The sequence below is a fragment of the Homo sapiens genome, chromosome 7, assembly GCF_000001405.40.
Source record: "Homo sapiens chromosome 7, GRCh38.p14 Primary Assembly".
In the NCBI taxonomy this organism is placed as follows: domain Eukaryota; kingdom Metazoa; phylum Chordata; class Mammalia; order Primates; family Hominidae; genus Homo; species Homo sapiens.
In genome coordinates, this window is record NC_000007.14 from 55705864 (window position 1) to 55725154 (window position 19291).

General features: G+C 43.2%; 1 pseudogene, besides 2 other annotated features; it reads right to left on the reverse strand.

Moving 5' to 3' along the window:
- Positions 142-649: an enhancer, noted in NCBI's record as "NANOG hESC enhancer chr7:55773698-55774205 (GRCh37/hg19 assembly coordinates)". NCBI's record gives its function as "activates a minimal SCP1, AML or CMV promoter by ChIP-STARR-seq in primed H9 embryonic stem cells {active_cell/tissue: H9 hESC(primed)}" and the evidence as "EXISTENCE:reporter gene assay evidence [ECO:0000049][PMID:30033119]".
- Positions 1388-2587: an enhancer, noted in NCBI's record as "MED14-independent group 3 enhancer chr7:55774944-55776143 (GRCh37/hg19 assembly coordinates)". NCBI's record gives its function as "activates an origin of replication core promoter dependent on BRD2, BRD4, P300/CBP and CDK7 cofactors, and independent of MED14, by STARR-seq in HCT116 cells {active_cell/tissue: HCT116}" and the evidence as "EXISTENCE:reporter gene assay evidence [ECO:0000049][PMID:35650434]".
- On the reverse strand, positions 5441-7365 carry LOC100420539 (FKBP prolyl isomerase 10 pseudogene; annotated as a pseudogene).

A 19291-nucleotide genomic window follows, 5' to 3' on the forward strand; every position in this document is an offset into this window, starting at 1 on the left:
TTCCCCTGACTCAGCCTCCTGAGTAGCTGGGATTACAGGCACCCGCCACCATGCCTGGCTAATTTACAACATATCTTAATGCATACTTTGTTTTGGTTTTGAGCTATGTAACTATTTCTCTTTTCCAAAAAATTTAAATGACAAATTTAAAAGAGATCCAAGGAACAAGAATGAATTATTCAAATGAAATAATGCCATATACAAATTCTTCTGTAATGGTTTTGGATGACTACATTAACTAGAAGTCTATCACCTCAGAGACAGGGAGGTTGCTGTCACTACTTGTTTGCTCTACTGGAAGCTAAAGGAGTAGTTTCAAACAACACATGCCACTAGAATGAGCAAAACAGGCCAAACACAAGCCATCTCTACAACTGCAGGCCATGCCTGATAAACAAAAGAAAACTTTGAACAACAAAAGAGGCCAGTAATTAGCCTCTATGGCACCCAGCATCGAGAAGGGAGCTGAATGCATCCAACCAGTGCCGTCCAGCTGATCAGCCTCTGAAATTTGTAAAGCACTGTGACACATATCTTATCTCTTTAATCTAACCATCTACTTGACAAAGTTGCTGGAATAGGGAAAAATGAAGTCCAAGGCAGTCAAACACTATCCAAAGTCATACAGCTAGTGCACCACAGACAGGGGCTAGAGCCCAGCTCTCTTGGCATTAAGCCCATTCTCTGCCCACTGTACCTCCTTGACATCACTTCTGGCCACTCCTCATCTTGGGCCCCATAATGAGGTTTATAACTGGATAGCTAAGCACAGTATAGGGGGATGGTGGGAGTCGAGGGTGAGTCTCTCCTGTCTTCCTGCAGAACCATCTAAAACAGCCCCCAAGAAAGAAATGGTTACAAGAGCCTATGAAGAAACTTAAGCCCATCTCTATAAAAAATAAAACATTAGCCAAGCATGGTGGCACACGCCTATCGTCCTAGCTACTAAGGAGGCTGAGATGAGAGAATTGCTTGAGCCCAGGAGTTCAAGGCTGCAGAAAGCCACGATCATGCAGCTGCACTGCACTCCAGACTGGATAACAGAACGAGACCCTGTCTCAAAAAAAAAGAAAGAAAGGAAGGAAGGAAGGAAGGAAGGAAGGAAGGAAGGAAGGAAGGGAGGAAGGAAGGAAGGAAGGAAGGGAGGAAAGAACTAAGTATCAGAAAACAGAAACCTGTATTAGAGATGAAAATGCCAACTATAAATCAGCATGGACAGAGTATTTAAATCATGGTCCAGCCAATGGCAGACTTTATTTAATACAATGTTCTGGCAGTTGAAGACTTTAATCATTTCCTTACCTGGAATCAAAGAGGGTGCCATCCAGAAGCGTGCCATTGTAATGATACCTGAGAAAGTCCCCACTTTGACTTAACCGCTCACAGTTTTCAGGTACTGCCTTGTTCTCAATGGAAATGCTGTCCTTGGGGTTATGGAGGTCCAATAATGCAACATCAAACACCAGAGATGCCTGACCGGGAATGTCTTTCCCTAGAATGGAATGGGAGAAGATGATTAAACGGGACACAGGATTTAGGAAGTACTTTACAACTCAACAGGCTTGGGGTTGGTGTTATTCATTTCTTGAGGTTTTGAAGCCAAGGAAACAAATGTTCTTCCAGGTCTTGAATGGGCCCCCATGGTGTCCAACCATGGGCTGATGGTATAATCTAAAACCTGACTCAGCAAAAGGAGAAAATTGGTATTAATGACATAAGAGACTACCATGACCATATTTTCTGGACTCATGCTGGAAGATCAAGGCTCTATGTAGGAGGGCAGGCACCCACAGGCAAACCCAAATACGTACCTCTGTGGGTTTCTGTTTGTGAATAAATGCAAACCACAGACATTTAAAGGAGAAAATTCCAAATCTCTGGTCTGGTTCTGGAGAACTGTACACAGACTTGTTCTTTGAAACGAACGGCCAATTTTTTAGAGGCAAAAAGTAAAACTCAATGCTTTAAGTATATCCAAAGCAAGATATAAATAAGATGAAAGCAGAATAACAGAGAAAAAAATGGCACCCACAATCCAAAATATAAATAAATAGTCCTCAAATCACTTCTATCTCACTTCTGGGTAGTACTGCTTCTCTTGGATGTTCCTGCCAGTGGGAGTATTTTGAATATCTGCAAAATGAAATCCACATGAAGAGATTACAGGACACTAGTTCTTCCTGCAAAGATCAACATCAACCAATAAATAACTCAAAATCCAGTAATTTGGGATAGTAGAAAGTTAACCAACAAACCAATCCCTCAGTTTTACTTGCCGTTTGTTATACCATGCAAAGGAGCAGGCCCAGACAAGCAAACCAGATGCCGCCAAGCCTGAGCTCCTTCCAGTGGCCTTTGGCAAAGCCCACCCTGCATCTCCTTCCCCTCCAAGGAATGATGAAATCTGCTGAAAGCCGGCTGCTGAGTCAGCCCCTGGAAAGCGAGGTGTGGTCAATCCCTAAATCGCATGCGTGGGAGATAGAATATTAATCTTTTGTGCCTTACTGTATCTTTTCATTTAAGAGAAAAATGAAAGTCTTAAAAGTAACCATGGGGTTTAAATTTTTCTTTTCTTTTTTTTTTTTTGAGATGGAGTCTCGCTCTGTTGCCCAGGCTGGAGTGTAATAGCACAATCTTGGCTCACTGCAACCTTCGCCTCCCGGGTTCAAGCGATTCTCCTGCCTCAGCTTCCCGAGTAGCTGGGATTACAGGCACCTGCCACCACGCCTGGCTAAATTTTGTATTTTTAGTAGAGACGGGGTTTCCCCATGCTGGCCAGGCTGGTCTTGAACTCCCGACCTCAGGCGATCCACCCAAATCAGCCTCCCAAAGTGCTGGGATTACAGGCGGGAGCCACTGCGCCCGGCCTGGGGTTTCAATTTTTCTAGCATTAATGTGTACTAAATGAATAATGTTTTCTATAGCAACTTTGCAGAGATATAATTCACATACCATACAGTTACACTTGGATAGCCAAGCATAGTATTCAAGTATAAAGTATTAAAAAATAACTACTCTAAATAAGCTATTATTTATTTAAAGTAAATAAATAATATTTCTCATATTAGGCTCACATCTGGTTTTGTTATGTGGCTGATGACAAAAGGATCTGGGAGCCAATGTGAATGAACTTTTTGGGGCCAAGGACAAGACCATTTGAACATCAATAAGAAAACAGTAACTGCCAGGCACAGTGGCTCCCACCCGTAATCCCAGCGCTTTGGGAGGCTGAGGTGGGAGGATCGCTTGAGTCCAGGATTTCAAGGTAAGCCTGGGTAACGTAGCGAGACACTGTCTCTAAAAAAACTTTTTTAACTAGCCAAGCATGGTGGCACATGCCTGTAGTCCTAACTATTCGGGAGGCTGAGGCAGGAGGATCACCCAGGAGTTTGAGGTTACAGTGAGCTATGATGGTGTCACTCCAGTCTGGGTGACAGAGTGAGACCCTGTCTCTAAAAATAATAACAACAATATCTTATATCTCATTGGGGGGGAGAATTAAGACATATTTATGGCACTGCTTTAAACTTTATTTTTCTTTTAGTAGGGAATTCCACCCCTAATACTCTGTTTAAGAAACCATCTGCAGATCCCCAGCATGTAAAATATATAAAAGTGGGCCAGGCACAGTGGTTCACACCTGTAATCCCAGCACTTTGGGAGGCCGAGGTGGATGGATGGCTTGACCTCAGCAGTTTGAGACAAGTCTGGCCAACATGGCGAAATGCTGTCTATACTAAAAATACAAAAATTTGCCAGGCATGGTGGCATACGCCTGTAGTCCAAGCTACCCAGGAGGCTGAGGCAGAAGAATCTCTTGAACCCAGGAGGTAGAGGCTGCAGTGAGCCGAGATCGCACCACTGCACTCCAGCCTGGGCAACAGAGTGAGACTCTGTCTCAAAAAAAAAAAGTGTATATATATATGAGTATATATATATATGAGTGTATATATATATATATGAGCGTATATATATATATGAGTACATATACATATGAGTATATATATATGAGTATATATATATGAGTGTATATATATATGAGTATATATATATGAGTATATATATGTGTATATATATGTATATATGTATATATATGTGTATATATATGTATATATATATGTGTATATATATGTATATATGTATATATATATGTATATATGTATATATATATATATGAGTATATATATATGGAGGTAGAAAGGAGAGAAGGCCGAGCCCCATCACCTCAGGCTCCCTTCTCCTCCTGCTCCGCTCCACAGAGCCAGGAAAAAACGTGAAAACATATTGGCTATTGTAAGTTGGCTATCACTATCAGTAAACTTCTTAAGAAGCATCATGTTCTCATTTATATCCTTAACTACAAAGTCATGTGCTGCACAATGAAGTTTTGGTCAACAACAGACCACATATATGAGAGTGGTCCCATGAGATTATCATATCATGTCTTTACTGTAACTTTTCTATGTTTAGATACACAAATTCTTACCATTGTGTTACAGTAGCTCACAGGATTCAGTACAGATGCTGTGCAGGTTTGTAGCCTAGAGGAAACAGGTTACACCACACAGCCTAAGTGTGCAGCAGGCTGTAGCACCTAGGATTGTGTAAGTGCACTCTATGGCATTTGCACAACAATGCAATTGCCTAATGATGCCTTTCGCAGAACATATCCCCATTATGAATCAACACATCACTGTATCCATCTGCTGTTTAAATGCCTACAGGTCTCTATGTTGTGCCAGCATGTCAATATGACTAAACGCACCTGAAATTCAAACATGAGTACCTGAGACATTCCATTTATCAGTCCATATTATGTGTTTTCCTTCACAGTAAAACTACAAACAGGACACTAGTTGTAATTAATGTGTTTTCTAACATTACACTTTGCTTTTGTCCATATGGAGTTAATGCCATAGGTAAAACTCATTGTAGAGGTGCAAACGGGGAAATCTGGCAATTCTGACACTGTATGGCTAAATTTCTACCTGCATATCTGCAACTTTTATAGTGTCTAATTCAAGTCTCATTTCACAAATGTTAAAGCCAGAGAGGTTGGTGGCCAAGGCCATGGCAGGTACAACAGGGGCAGAGGGGGTTACTTATGAATGCCAATGACTATAAGTAAGTGGAAATTTCTGCAACTCAATCATCACACAGCAGACAATCCAGACTAGCACTGTCAAATAGAACTTTCTGAGTGATGGAAATGATCTGGGTCTGTATCTGCACTGTCCACTATGGTGGTCCTCAGCAACGTGAGGCTATTGGGTACCTAAAATGTAGCAGTGTGACCAAGGAACTGAATTTTAAATTTTAGCTAATTTTAACTTGTTTCCATTTCAATATAAATAGCCACATGTAGCTAGTGGTTACCATATTGGCCAGCGTAGGTCTAGACCAAAAGGTCTAGTGAGTTTCATGTGGTGACAATTGAATTAACCACTGCAATAAAAATAAGGGTAGGAGAGAGTGGCTCCAAGAAGGAGAAGGACTTACCATCTCCATCCTCTCCATAGGCCAGAAAAGGAGGAATGGTGATGATGCGCTTCTCACCCACACACATCCCCAGCAGCCCTTTATCCATTCCAGGAATCAGCCAGCCAATTCCCACATACGTGTCCTATGTTTTCATGCGATTGTGACTGAAAGGTAATGAGAAAAGGAAAAAGTTCCACACCATGAGGATATTTCCAACTCATCTCTCTGTACGGTTTTTCTTACCCAAATATCAGCTAAACGATGATCCCATACCCATCCTAGAGATAGACATTTATGGATCTTTGCCCCCAAACACAGGGCAGATGTCCTCAAGTTTAGAAAGAAATAAAAAGCATGCATTTATACTAGTGATAGACAAAAACAGGTCAGCTATTCCACTAATCAAACACACTCTAATGAGAAGAAATTGCGAAGGGTTCCCTGATCTCCCGTGTAGCCCCATGCCTCTCCATAGCTTCACATACATTCATCTTTTCCCTCTTGCTTCCATGGGAAAACTACAAAAATGAACCAAAACGTGCATAAGCCTCCTTAGAAATAGAGACTTACACGGCCAGGTGCAGTGGCTCACGCCTGTAATCCCAGCACTTTGGGAGGCCAAGGCAGGCAGATCATGAGGTCAGGAGATCGAGAACACCCTGGCTAATACGCTGAAACGCCGTCTCTACTAAAAATACAAAAAATTAGCTTAGCGTGGTGGCATGCACCTGTAGTCCCAGCTACTTGGGAGGCTGAGGCAGGAGAATCGCTTGAACCCAGGAGGCAGAGGTTGCAGTGAGCCAAGATCGTGCCACTGTACTCCAGCCTGGGTGACAGGGCGAGAATCCATCTCAAAAAAAAAAAAAAAAAAAAAGAAATAGAACCTTTCACTTAATGATGAGATCTCAAAATACTGTTAAGTTAGATAAACACTGCTCTTCAATGTTTCTAAGATGTATTAAAATTTCGACTCTGGCACCAGAGAAGATGCAACACTGACCAAAAGTCTTAAGCAGATGAGTTCAGTACTGATTACAGTTGAGAAGAGTCCTTATTCTAGTATCCCCATCAGCATAAAAAGCAAGTAAGACAGAAGGAAAGAACTATGCATGGAACATTTCACTGATACTGCCATGAATGACAGGACTTACCTCGAATCAAACAGAGTTCCGTCCAGGAACGTCCCGTTGTAGTGGTACCTCACAAAATCAGACACCTGGATGGTCTGAGGGCAACTCAGGGGCTTGAAATAGGTGTGAATCTGAACCCGGTCTTCAGAATTCCAAATATCCATCAGAAGTACATCAAAATGAAGCACTGAATTGGGGGGGATCACACCAGCTAGAAATTAAAGATTTCACACTGAGTTCACAGTTGCTGCCTTTCAGGCCAGATAAATAAACACCTAGGATGCTCCCAAGGTGAATGTGGGCCAAAAGGGTTCAAGCAGTCACTGCTATACAATCCCAAAATGACCCATTCTTCCTCCCTCTTTCCTCCAAATGAAATTGAAAGAAAAGAGAAAAAACAGTTTTCTTCTCATTGAGGGTATCATTCAATACATCTGTGTTAATGACACTTTCTTTCACATCTAGAAGAAATAAACCTAAGATGGAAATTTTAGCTGTGTATGAGTTCACTGCTTTTCATTTTCCCCCAATCTAAAGCTTCCAAGATTCTCCAGTCTGTTTGACTTAACATCCTAAAAGTGTTCTCATTGTTTCTGCTGATGTGTTTATAAACGAGGAAGAAAAGCTTACAAACTCCTTCACTTCCGTAGGCAAGCTTTGGGGGAATCTTCACGAAATGTCTCTCGTTTACGCACATCCCAACAAGAGCCTGGTCCATCCCTGTGATCAGCTGTCCTTTTCCCACAAACACGTTGAAAGTGGAGTCTCTGTCATAGCTGAAGGCCCAAAGGGTAGGGAAAGAGAAAGAAAAGTATAAATAGTCCCTTCCTCAGTAAAAACCAACCTGTAAAAATGTGCCCACAGATGTAATGGGGCCACAGCAAAGCAAAAACCCTGCCTAGGAGTTACTGATACAGGAACATCTCCACTGGACAGTACTTGTAGGGTTGGAAATTTTAGACTACCTTGAATATTGCCAGCAAATCTAGTTCAATAAGAATCAGCATAACTCTCTCCAGAAAAACAAAAATGTGTTAAACTGATTTTGCAAAATAGTTACCTATTCTTTCACACACACAAAAAAGAAAGAGTTGGCTGTGGTCATGCCAGGGCTTTGGAAGGCCAAGGCAAGAGGAGTTAACTTGAAGTTAGGAGTTCGAGACCAGCCGGGGCAACAAAGTGAGGCCCCCCCCTCTCTACTAAATAAATAAATACATATAATTAGCCAGGTGTGGTGGTGCATGCCTATAGTCCCAGCTACTTTGGAAGCTGAGGTAGGAGGATCGCTTGAGCCCAAGAGTTTGAGGCTGCAGTGAGCTATGATTGCACCACTGCACTCCAGCCTGGGCGACAGAGTCTCAAAAAATAAAATAAAATAAAATAAAAAAGACTTTACAGCCAGGTGCAGTGGCTCACGCCTGTAATCCCAACACTTTGGGAGGTCGAGGAGAGTGGATCACCTGAGGTCAGCAGTTTGAAACCAGCCTGGCCAACACGGTGAAACCCCATCTCTACTAAAAATACAAAAAATTAGCCAGGCGTGGTGGCACATGCCTGTAGTCCCAGCAACTCGGGAGGCTGAGGCAGGAGAATTGCTTGAACCTGGGAGGTGGAGATTGCAGTGAGCCGAGATAACGCCACTGCACTCCAGCCTAGGTGACAGAGCAAGACTCTGTGTCAAAAAAAAAAAAAAAACTTCATTTCATTTTCTATATGATTGGTACCTAAAAGCAACATCATAGGTACTAATGGCCAAAGTTAACACACACACACACACACACACACACACACACACACTTGATTTTTTTTAAAAGTCATCCAGCTAAGTTAAACACAGAGGCAGCATGGTAACAGCATAAAACATACTTAAACTCTCTTAACCTCAGTTTCCTCCACTGCAAAATGCAAGAAATAATAACAGCCTCCCCAGGATCTGTGTAACAACGTGAAAAATGCTCTGAAACCCTAAGTGTTATGCCAATATTGCTATAATTATCACAGGTAATAGAAAGTATGATGTAGTCTTAGGATCACTAATATACGTGTTTTAAAGGCTGATAGGCAACAGCCTTAGATCAAAAGATAAATAAGGAAATCATGGCTGTGACTCACACCTTTATCTTCTTCAGTGTCAAATTTAGCAATCAACAGGGGTTTGCCTATTAGGGGACTGTGCCAGGTGCTTTGGGGGATATAAAGTACAAGGCATGGACTTTGCCTACAAGTACCTTATATACTGATAGAGACCCACAGGGTTTCAGAAGACATAAAATAAAATGCTCTATGGCATTTTATAATAACAGATTTTTACTCACTGACTCGGAGGGATATATACAATAAGAGTAAAGGGCAGGTTACAATGCCAGGCGTGGTGGCTCATGCCTGTAATCTCAGCACTTTGGGAGGCCAAGGACGGTGGATCACTTGAGATCAGGAGTTCAAGACCAGCCTGGCCAACATGGTGAAACCCCATCTCTACTAAAAATACAAAATTAGCCAGGCGTGGTGGTGTGCACCTGTAGTGCCAGCTACTTGGGAGCCTGAGGTACAAGCATTGCTTGAACCTGGGAGGTGAAGGTTGCAGTGAGCTGAGATGGTGCCACTGCACTGTCATCCAGCCTGGGTGACAGAGTGAAACTTTGTCTCAAAAAGGGTGGGGGGGAACAGGTTAACACGTATAAAATCACTCCATTTTCAACTTACATATATAGATGCATATGAAAAAATCCACAAGGCAATACATGAAATATTATCTATCATCTACAGGTAGAGGACTTCAGGTGACTGAATTTGTTTTCTCTTTAATTATCCTACTTTTCAAAATGATCATGTAATTAATTATGTAATAAAATGTTAAGAGCTGCTGGGATTTACTTCTTGAGAATGTGTCACCCTTCATTTTTCACTTTCACTTTTTCCTCTTTTTCCCTAATGAACAGTTTGGGTGAGCAACAGAGTCCACCTCACCACTCCCCTCAGGGCAGCTTCCTGAGACCTGGCCCTCTTCTCTTTCTCCTCCTAGTTTTACAGCCTATTTTAATAAGTTTCCTTTCTTCAAGGTCAGTGAACAGAAAGCAAGATTTCAAGTACAGGCCAACAAGCCAGAGGACAAAAGCACATGGCCAGTTGTGTGCCCAAGTCAGCTTTACACCTCCACCCTCTACCTCCGGGGCCCCAATCCCCACCCCCTGGAATGCCTGCTCTTGAATTACACTTGGCTGGGGACTCGCCCTGCCACTAAGCCATCATCAAACTGGCAGATTTATTATAATAATGGGCCAGAAAGCAAGACTTCAAAGACTCCCAAGCACAGAACACACGCAAGCAGCAACAATGCACCGGCAAGAAACTACTTTAAAAATATTTTTTTCATTCACAGAACCCGAATATACTTCCTAAATTTAACAAAACTTTTTAATACTAACTGCCATTTACAGAGTATCTATTATTTGTTGGGCACAGTAGCAAACTAAGCTCTTCAATATATACTACACCATTTAATCCTCATACAATACTTTAAGGTGGGTGCTATGATACTCAGGCTCTTTGGAGGTTACAAAATTTCCCAAGCTCATGAAATTAAACATGAGGAGGGAAAAAAGCAAGAATCTAGGACCATCTCAATCTCACACTCCAGGGTCAGGGCCTCCCTAGAGGTGTATAGAAACAGTTGTTGCCCAGCTTGGGCAACATTGTGAAATCCCATCTCTACTAAAAATACAAAAAATTAGCTGAGCATGGTGGTATGTGCATGTGGTCCCAGCTACTTGGGAGACTGAGGTGGGAGAATCGCTTGAACCTGGGAGGCAGAGGCTGCAGTGAGCCAAGATCATACCCCGGCACTCCATTCTGGGTGACAGAGTGAGATCCTGGAAAGAAAGAAAGGAAAGAAAGAAAGGAAGAAAGGAAGAAAGAAACAGTTGTTGCCTCACAGTATTAACTTCTTCATTTGATGTTGCCTAAGCACTGTGAACAATTAAGCACCAAAGTGCTAAAAACCAAAAAACCTTTCTGAAAGAAAATGTATACATTTATACATTAATAATGTATACATTTATAGAAGAGGCTAACAATGCAAGACCAGTCTTATCTACTGCTTAAAATTCTGACCATCTGGAAAAATAAAGTTGTTCTGAACAAATTTATTCTGATCAGCACAACTGGCACAAACTCATGGGCAGCATCAAGCCCAGAACTGGTCATGAAAATTACTTCTGCACACTCTGGAGTAAGCATTTATACAACCTGTCCTGGGATCTGGCTTATTTACACCTTTTACAGGCATCTCATTCAGGGGCCTGCAGGAAACAGATGACACACCCAAACGAAGCTGTTCCAGGAAAGTTTAATAATGGGGTTGTGCACAGCTGAGATCATAATCAATGGTGAAAAACTGAAAGGTGTTCCCCTGTGATTGGGAACAAGGAAAAGATGCTTGGTTTCAACACTTCTATTCAGCATGGTCCTGGAACTCCTAGCTAGAGCAATTAAGCAAGAAAAAGAAATACATGGCACAGAAATTGGAAAGGAAGAAGTAAAAATATCTCTTTTAACTGACGAAATAACTTTATATATAGAAAACCCTGTAAGAGTCCATAAAAAAAGCTGTTAAAACTAATAAACATTGGACTTGATGGTTCTGTGGGGGAAAAAAACAACTAATAAACAAATTTGGCAAAGTTGCAGGATACAAAATCAACACCCCAAAATCAGTTGCATTTCTATACACTAATAATGAACAATCTTAAAAAAGGAAATGAACAAAATAATTCTATTTACAATAGCATCAAGAAGAATGAAATACTTAGGATTAAACCTAACCAAGGAGGCAAAAGACTACAATGGAAACTAGAAAAACATTGCTGTAAGAAATTAAAGAGGGCCAGGTGCAGTGGCTCATGCATGTAATCCCTGCACTTTGGGAGGCCAAGGCGGGCGGATCACCTGAAGTCAGGAGTTTGAGACCAGCCTGGCCAACATGGTGAAACCTGTCTCTACTAAAAATACAAAAATTAGACAGGCATGGTGGCATATGCCTGTAATCCCAGCTACTCGGGAGGCTGAGACAGGAGAATCGCTTGAACTTGGGAGGTGGAGATTGTGGTGAGCCGAAATTGCACCACTTCACTCCAGTCTGGGCGACAGAGCAAGACTCTGTCTCTAAAAAAAGAAAGAAAGAAAGAAATTAAAGAGGACACAAATAAATGGAAAGACATTTCTCGTTCATGGATGGGAAGACTTAATATGGCTAAGATGTCCACACTAACCAAAGCAATCTATTGATTCAATGCGATTCCTACCAAAATCCTGATGGCATTTTTTGCAGAAATAGAAAAAAAAAAAACTAAACTAAAATTCATACGGATTTTTTTTTTTTTTTGAGATAGAGTCTCACTCTGTCACCCAGGCTAGAGTGCAGTGGTGCAATCTCGGCTCACTGCAACTTCTGCTTCCCGGGTTCAAGCAATTCTGCCTCAGCCTCCTGAGTAGCTGGGATTACAGGGGCCCGCCACCATGCCTGGCTAATTTTTGTATTTTTAGTAGAGACAGGGCTTCACCATGTTTGCCAGGCTGGTCTTGAACTCCTGACCTCAGGTGATCAGACTGCCTCGGCCTCCCAAAGTGCTGGGATTACAGGTGTGAGCCATGGTGCCTGGCCTTGGAATCTTGAAGGACTCTAAAGAGCCAAAACAATCCTGAGAAAGAAGAACAAAGCTGGAGGCCTCACACTTCCTGATTTTGAAACATATTATGAAGCTATCATAATCAAGGCAGCATGGTACTGACCCAAATACAGACACATAGACCAATAGATCAAAATAGCCCAGAAATAAACTTTTGCCTATATGGTCAAATGATCTTTGACAAGGGCTAAGGCTACACAGTGGGTAAGGATGGTCTCTTCAATAAACGGTGCAGGGAAAATTGGATCTCCACATGCAAAAGAATAAAGTTGGAGATTCTTACTTTATACCATAGGAAACAATCAATTCAAAATGGATTAAATGCATAAATATAAGATCCAAAACTATAAAACTAGGAAAAAAACACAAGGGAAAAGCATCATGACATTGGATTGGATATGACACCAAAAGCACAGGTAACAAAAACAAAAACAGACAAAGGGGACTTTGTCAAACTTTAAAACTCTGAACAGCAAAGAAAACAATCAACAGAGTAAAAAGGCAACCTAAAAAATGGGAGAAAATGTTTGCAAACCTCATATATGATAAGGGATTAATATCTAGAATATATAAAGAACTCCTAAAACTCAACGACCACAAAATAATCCAATTTTAAAATGAGCAAAGGGATTGAATGAATATTTCTCCAAAGAAGATATACAAATGGCCAACAAGCATATGAAAAGATGCTACACATCACTAAACAGCAGAGAAATGCAAATCAAAAACCACAATGCAGGCCAGGCATGGTGGCTCACGCCTGCAATCCCAGCACTTTGGGAGGCTGAGGTGGGTGGATCACCTGAGGTCAGGAGTTCAAGACCAGCCTGGCCAACATGGCAAAACCCCGTCTCTACTAAAAATACAAAAATTAGCCAGGCATGGTGGCATATGCCTGTAATCCCAGCTACTCGGGGGGCTGAGGCAAAACCCCGTCTCTACTAAAAATACAAAAATTAGCCAGGCATGGTGGCATATGCCTGTAGTCCCAGTTACTCGGGGGACTGAGGCAGGAGAATTGCTTGAACCTAGGAGGCAGAGGTTGCAGTGAGCTAAGATCACGCCATTGCACTCCTGCCTGGGTGACAAAAGTGAAACTCTGTCTCAAAAAAAAAAAAAGAAGGAAAAAGAAAACCGCAATGCAATATTACCTCACACACACTTGTTAGAATGGCCACTATCAAAAAACTGGAAAATAAAAAGTGATGGAGAGGATATGGAGAAATTGGAATCTTTGTGCACTTTGATGGGAATGCAAAATGTACTTGCTCTAGAAAATGGTCTGTAGGCTCCTCAAAAAATTAAAAATAGAAGTACTGTATGATCTAGCAATCCTATCTCTTGGTGTATACCCAAAAGAACTGAAAACAGAATCAGGCCGAACGCAGTGGCTCATGCCTGTAATCCAAGGTTGAAGCTTGAGTCCAAGAGTTCAAGACCAGCCTAGGCAACCTGGTGAAACACCATCTTTACAAAAACACAAAAATTAGCCATGTGTGGTGGTGCACAGGTACTGTAGTCCCAGGTACTCGGGAGGTTGAAGTGAGAGGATCACTTGAGCTCAGGAGGTCAAGGCTGCAGTAAGCTGTGATCATGCCACTGCACTCGACCCTGGGCAACAGAACAAAAGACTCTGTCTAAGCCGGGCGCGGTGGCTCACGCCTGTAATCCCAACACTTTGGGAGGCTGAGGCGGGCGGATCACCTGAGGTCGGGAGTTAGAAACCAGCCTGACCAACACGGAGAAACCCTGTCTCTACTAAAAATACAAAAATCAGCTGGGCATAGTGCTGGGTGCCTGTAATCCCAGCTACTCAGGAGGCTGAGGCAGGAGAATCACTTGAACCTGGGAGGCGGAGGTTGCGATGAGCTGAGATCGCACTACTGTACTCCAGCCCAGGCACTAAGAGCGACACTCTATCCCAAAAAACAAAACAAAACAAAAAAACCACTCTGTCTAAACTAAAACAAAAACAAAACCACAACAACTCAGATATTTGCACACACATGTTCAACTCAGCACGATTTACAATAGCCAAAAGCTAGAAGCAATCTAAATGTCCATAGACAAATAAATGGATAAAAAATATGTGGTATACACACACAATGAAATATTATTCCGCCTTAAAAAGGAAGGAAATCCTATCACATGCTACAATATGGATGAACCTTGAGGACATTACGTAAAGTGAAATAAGCCAGTCACAGAAAGACAAATACTGCATGATTCCACGAATTATATGAGGTATCTAAAGTAGTTAAACTCATAGAAACAGAAAGTGGAATGTTGTTATCAGCGGACAAGGAAGAGGGAAAAATGAAGAGAAGTTGTTCAGTGGGCATAAAGTTTCAATTTTGCAGGATGGAAAAATTCTAGAGATATATTGCACAACAGTGTGAATATAGCTAACACTATTATACAGTTCAAAGTGGTTACAATGGTAAATTTGATGGTTTTTTTAAAGTAATAACAGAGTGGGTGTGTGCAAAGGTGTGTACAGAACACAGCAAAACACAAGGGATAGTACCTCTGTGGCTGGGTGGGGAATGCTGCTATCACACCTGAGCTTGAATGACAGAGACAGAGAGGGCAGCTAGGGGCTACCTGACAGAACTGGGCCCTTTAGTTTAGGGCCACAATCCATGGTGACCCTACAGACAGGAAGCCAGAGGAATACATACCTTCACCTCACTCTCTTCCCTCGCTTTGAACATCTGATGCCTGATAGGGTTTGGATCTGTGTCCATGCCAAATCTCATGTTGAAATGTAATCCCCAGTGTTGGAGGTGGGGCCTGGTGGGAGGGCTTAGCGCCATCCCCTCGGTGATGAATGAGTTCAGAGATCTGCTTGTTTAAAAGTGTGTGGCACCTCCCACCCTCTCTCTCTTGCTCCTGCTCTTGCCATGTGAGATGTCTGCTCCCCTTTTCCCTTCCACCATGACTATAAATCTCCTGAGGTCCTCACCAGAAGCTGACGACAGCATGCAATGCTTCCTGTACAGCCTGCAGAACTGTGAGCCAATTAAACCTCTTTTCTTATAAATTACCCAGCCTTGGGTATTTCTCTCCAGTGATGCAGGAATGGCTTATCACAATGTCCCAATGGCTGAACCCAACCAAAGCCAGAAGACAAAGGGTCATTAATGTAACCCATACTATGCACATGTAGTCCATACATGTCAGCCTCCCAGAGCAAAAAGCAAATGGAACAGGTGAAGGGTGGACCTAGAAAGGCAAATGGAAACCACCTAGCACATCCAACACCCTCCTTTCCTCTCCACCAGCTTGTTTTTGTCCCCTTCCATCACTGCCCCAGGGGAGTGATGGGAAAGTTGTCTGTAGCACCCTCTGATGATGCTCTTTAAAATTATTAACCCAAGGACCACTAAGACAAGAGACATCATAGTCAACACACTAAACTGCCTACACAAAAGCTCACATTATATTGGCAACACATTACTTGAGATAAATAACTATCCTCATGGCTATATTCTTTTTTTTTTTTTTTTGAGATGGCGTCTCACTGTCACCAAGGCTGGAGTGCAGTGGCACGATCTTGGCTCACTGCAACCTCTGCCTCTCATGTTCAAGCAATTCTCCTGCCTCAGCCTCCCTAGAAGCTGGGATTACAGGCACACACTACCACGCCCAGCTAATTTTTGTATTTTTAGTAAAGATTCGGTTTCACCATGTTGTCCAGGCTGGTCTTGAACTCCTGACCTCAGGTGATCCACCTGCCTTGGCCTCCCAAAGTGCTGGGATTAGAAGCATGAGCCACCTCGCCCAGCCCCCCAGGGCTATATATATATGTATATATATACACATATATATACATATATATATAAATATATATATGTATATATATATACATATATATAAATATATATATGTATATATATATACATATATATATAAATATATATATGTATATATATATACATATATATAAATATATATATATATATATTTTTTTTTTTTTTTAGATGGAGTCTCGCTCTGTCGCCCAGGCTGGAGTGCAGTGGTGCAATCTCGGTTCACTGCAACCTCCATCTCCCCGGTTCAAGCAATTCTCCTGTCTCAGCCTCCTGAGTAGCTGGGATTACAGGTGCATGTCACCACGCCCAGCTAATTTTTGTAATTTTAGTAGAGATGGGGTTTCACCATGTTGGTCAGGCTGACTTGAACTCCTGACCTCATGATCCACCTGCCTCGGCCTCCCAAAGTGCCGGGATCACAGGCATGAGCCACCGTGCCTGGCCCCCATGGCTATATTCTTAAGGCAGAATGGGGCTTCTAAATGTAGGTTTAAATCTGCAATAAGAACGAGCTTTTAAAAGGACAAATGACAGGCTGGGCATGGTGGCTCAAGCGGTAATCCCAGCAGTTTGGGAGGCCCAGGTGGGTGGATCACTTGAGCTCAGGAGTTCAAGACCAGCCTGGGCAACATGGCAAAACCTTGTCTCCACCAAAAATACAAAAATTAGCCAGGTGTGGTAGCACACACCTGTGATCCTAGCTACTCGGGTGGCTGAGGCATGAGAATTGCTTGAACCCAGGAGGCAGAGGTTGCAGTGAGCACCACTGCACTCCAGCCTGGGAAACAGAGTGAGACCCTGTCTCAAAAAGAAAGAAATAAAAAAAAAAGACTGCCATATTTTGAGAACCCATAACAGAAGGGAGGCAAAGTAAGGAAGAACAAGTCCACTGGGCACGGGAACTACCCTTTGGGGCCCTCAAAGTTGGTCCTGTCTCGCTTGGGCCAACTCAGATGGCTGACTCACAGGGGACCTGCTTGACGTTTGGACTGTGGTCCTGCCACCACCCTTCACGAATGGGACTGAAACTCACCTCCCCACTGGCCGCCTAGCTCCCAGCTGAGACTCACCCCCTCTGCTGGCTGAGTTTCACCACTGAGACTGATCTTACTGCAGACTTGAAAGCAGGGAGGCAGAGTTTGGCTTTTCTGCCTCCCACCTCCCTCTGCACACATTCACTCCCAAAGGGGACTCTGGGCTTTCTGGACCCTTTGCCTAAGACTATTTCCCTCAAACAGCCATCTCTACCAGTAGCTAATGAGACATGCCAGGGAGAAAAGAAAAGCAGTTAATGAACCGGCAAACTACCCAGATGGGAAAGTGTGAGAACGCTGCAGAGGAGGAAGGTTAGAGGAGGTGAGGGAGGAGAGAGGGAGCAAAAGGGAACAGAGAAGAAATGAGAGAGAACGCCTCCATTCATAGCTCCTCAGAGAATCAGACCCTGAAACATGAGCTGTTGGCTTGGATGGGCTTTGACCCATTAAAATATCATTAAATGAAAAACTTTGCAAAGCAAAGCAAAATCCATTGCTGTTATGGATTTTTGTTTTTAAGCAACTGCACAAGTTAAAATGTCAGATCCCTATAGATGATTCCCATTTTTCACAGGGCTTAGCCCAGTAAAATACCATACAGCCAAATTAAATTGTTAATATAAATGTGTAATTGCTGGCAATGACCCACAAATGAAAATTCAAGGCCCCGCTAAGAAGTCTTCACCAGGGGTGCTTGGCCAGCTGCCAATGGCCTCAGGAGACCGCAGTGAGAAGCAGCTAGGATCTTCCCCTAGTTAGCAGAAACGCACAGGGCTAATGCACGGTAGCAGCCTCCGTTTCAGCACTCCCCTTCTCCATAAAAAGAGCTGCGATGTGGAGTCACACTCTAAACAACTCCTAAGTTAGCATGTCCTGACCTGGCCAGTCGCTCTGACACCACTGCCCCTGTCAGGCCCCCCTGACTCCATCCTGGCTGCTGCCCAGCCCACTGGCTCTTCCCTGAGGACCAGTCCTGCTGAAAGGGTGAGCCTGGGCCCCCACTTAGGACCATGTGACTTAACACCCAATAGGGTGGACACCTGCCCCAAGCAGGACCCATCAGATTATTTCCTGGAAACCTAGAAGTGAGAAAGTCCAGTTTGTCGGCGTTGGTGCTGGATCCCAGAGGTCATGTGTGCAGCATGGGGAGCTTATTGGAGCACTCTTTTTCTAGTGGGAGAGAATGAAGCCCCGTTTGCAACCCCTTGGGGAGAGGCAGAAAGTCACCTCAGACCATGATTCTGGACCCTCACAAGGAATTGGAGATCCTTCCAACAAATTCCCACTCTTTTCTGCTTAAGTCTGCAGGACGGGCTTGTGTTCACCCCAACCCTGACTTGAGGGCAGGGACTTTTGTCAGCTTTATCCTCTGCTGTATCCCAGTACCTGGAATGTTAGAAGCTGGATGAATGCCTGTGTAAAATGAAGCCCCAATGAGGCTGATCTCTAGAATTTCTGCTTACACTATCAGTCCGTCCACTGAGCACCTCAATCCCCTTACTCCTCTGAACAAAAACCTTCCCTTCACAAGATTCTGAACAGAAGCATATATTCAGGGCAACTTGAATCCATGGGATGAAAAAAAAAAAATACCAAAGTCCACAACACCTAGCTCAGCCACCCAGGCCTCCCAAGGACTGGTTCTCCCACACCCTTCCAGTGCCAGGTCCTCTGCCTCCTGACCCAAATATTGGAGCCTCTCACTGTTCCTTGAGCATGCACTACTCAGGCCCAGACTCTGGTCCACCCCATCCACTCTCTTAAACACACTCCCCACTTCAAGGAATGAAATCCCATCCATGCTCAAGGCCCAACTCAAGCATCAGCTCCTCCTCAAAGCCTTTCATATGGCTTCAGCAAGAAGAAATCCTTCCCTCCCTGGAACGGGTAGAGGTATCTGTGCATAATACTCACAAGGCACTCACTGCATGCTGGCTGCTTTGTGTGAGGCATGAGAGCTCCCCAGTCCAGAATCTGAAGGTCAGTTATATTAGCTGGGTGGCCACTGTCCTCTCACCTTTCTGGGCCTGTCGCCCCACCCTCCCAACCCTCACTCCTACTGCTTTTTCTCCATAGTCCTCACCAACTTCTACTTTACCATATAACTTAAGAGTACGCCTGTCCTCTCACTAGTATGTAAGCTCCAT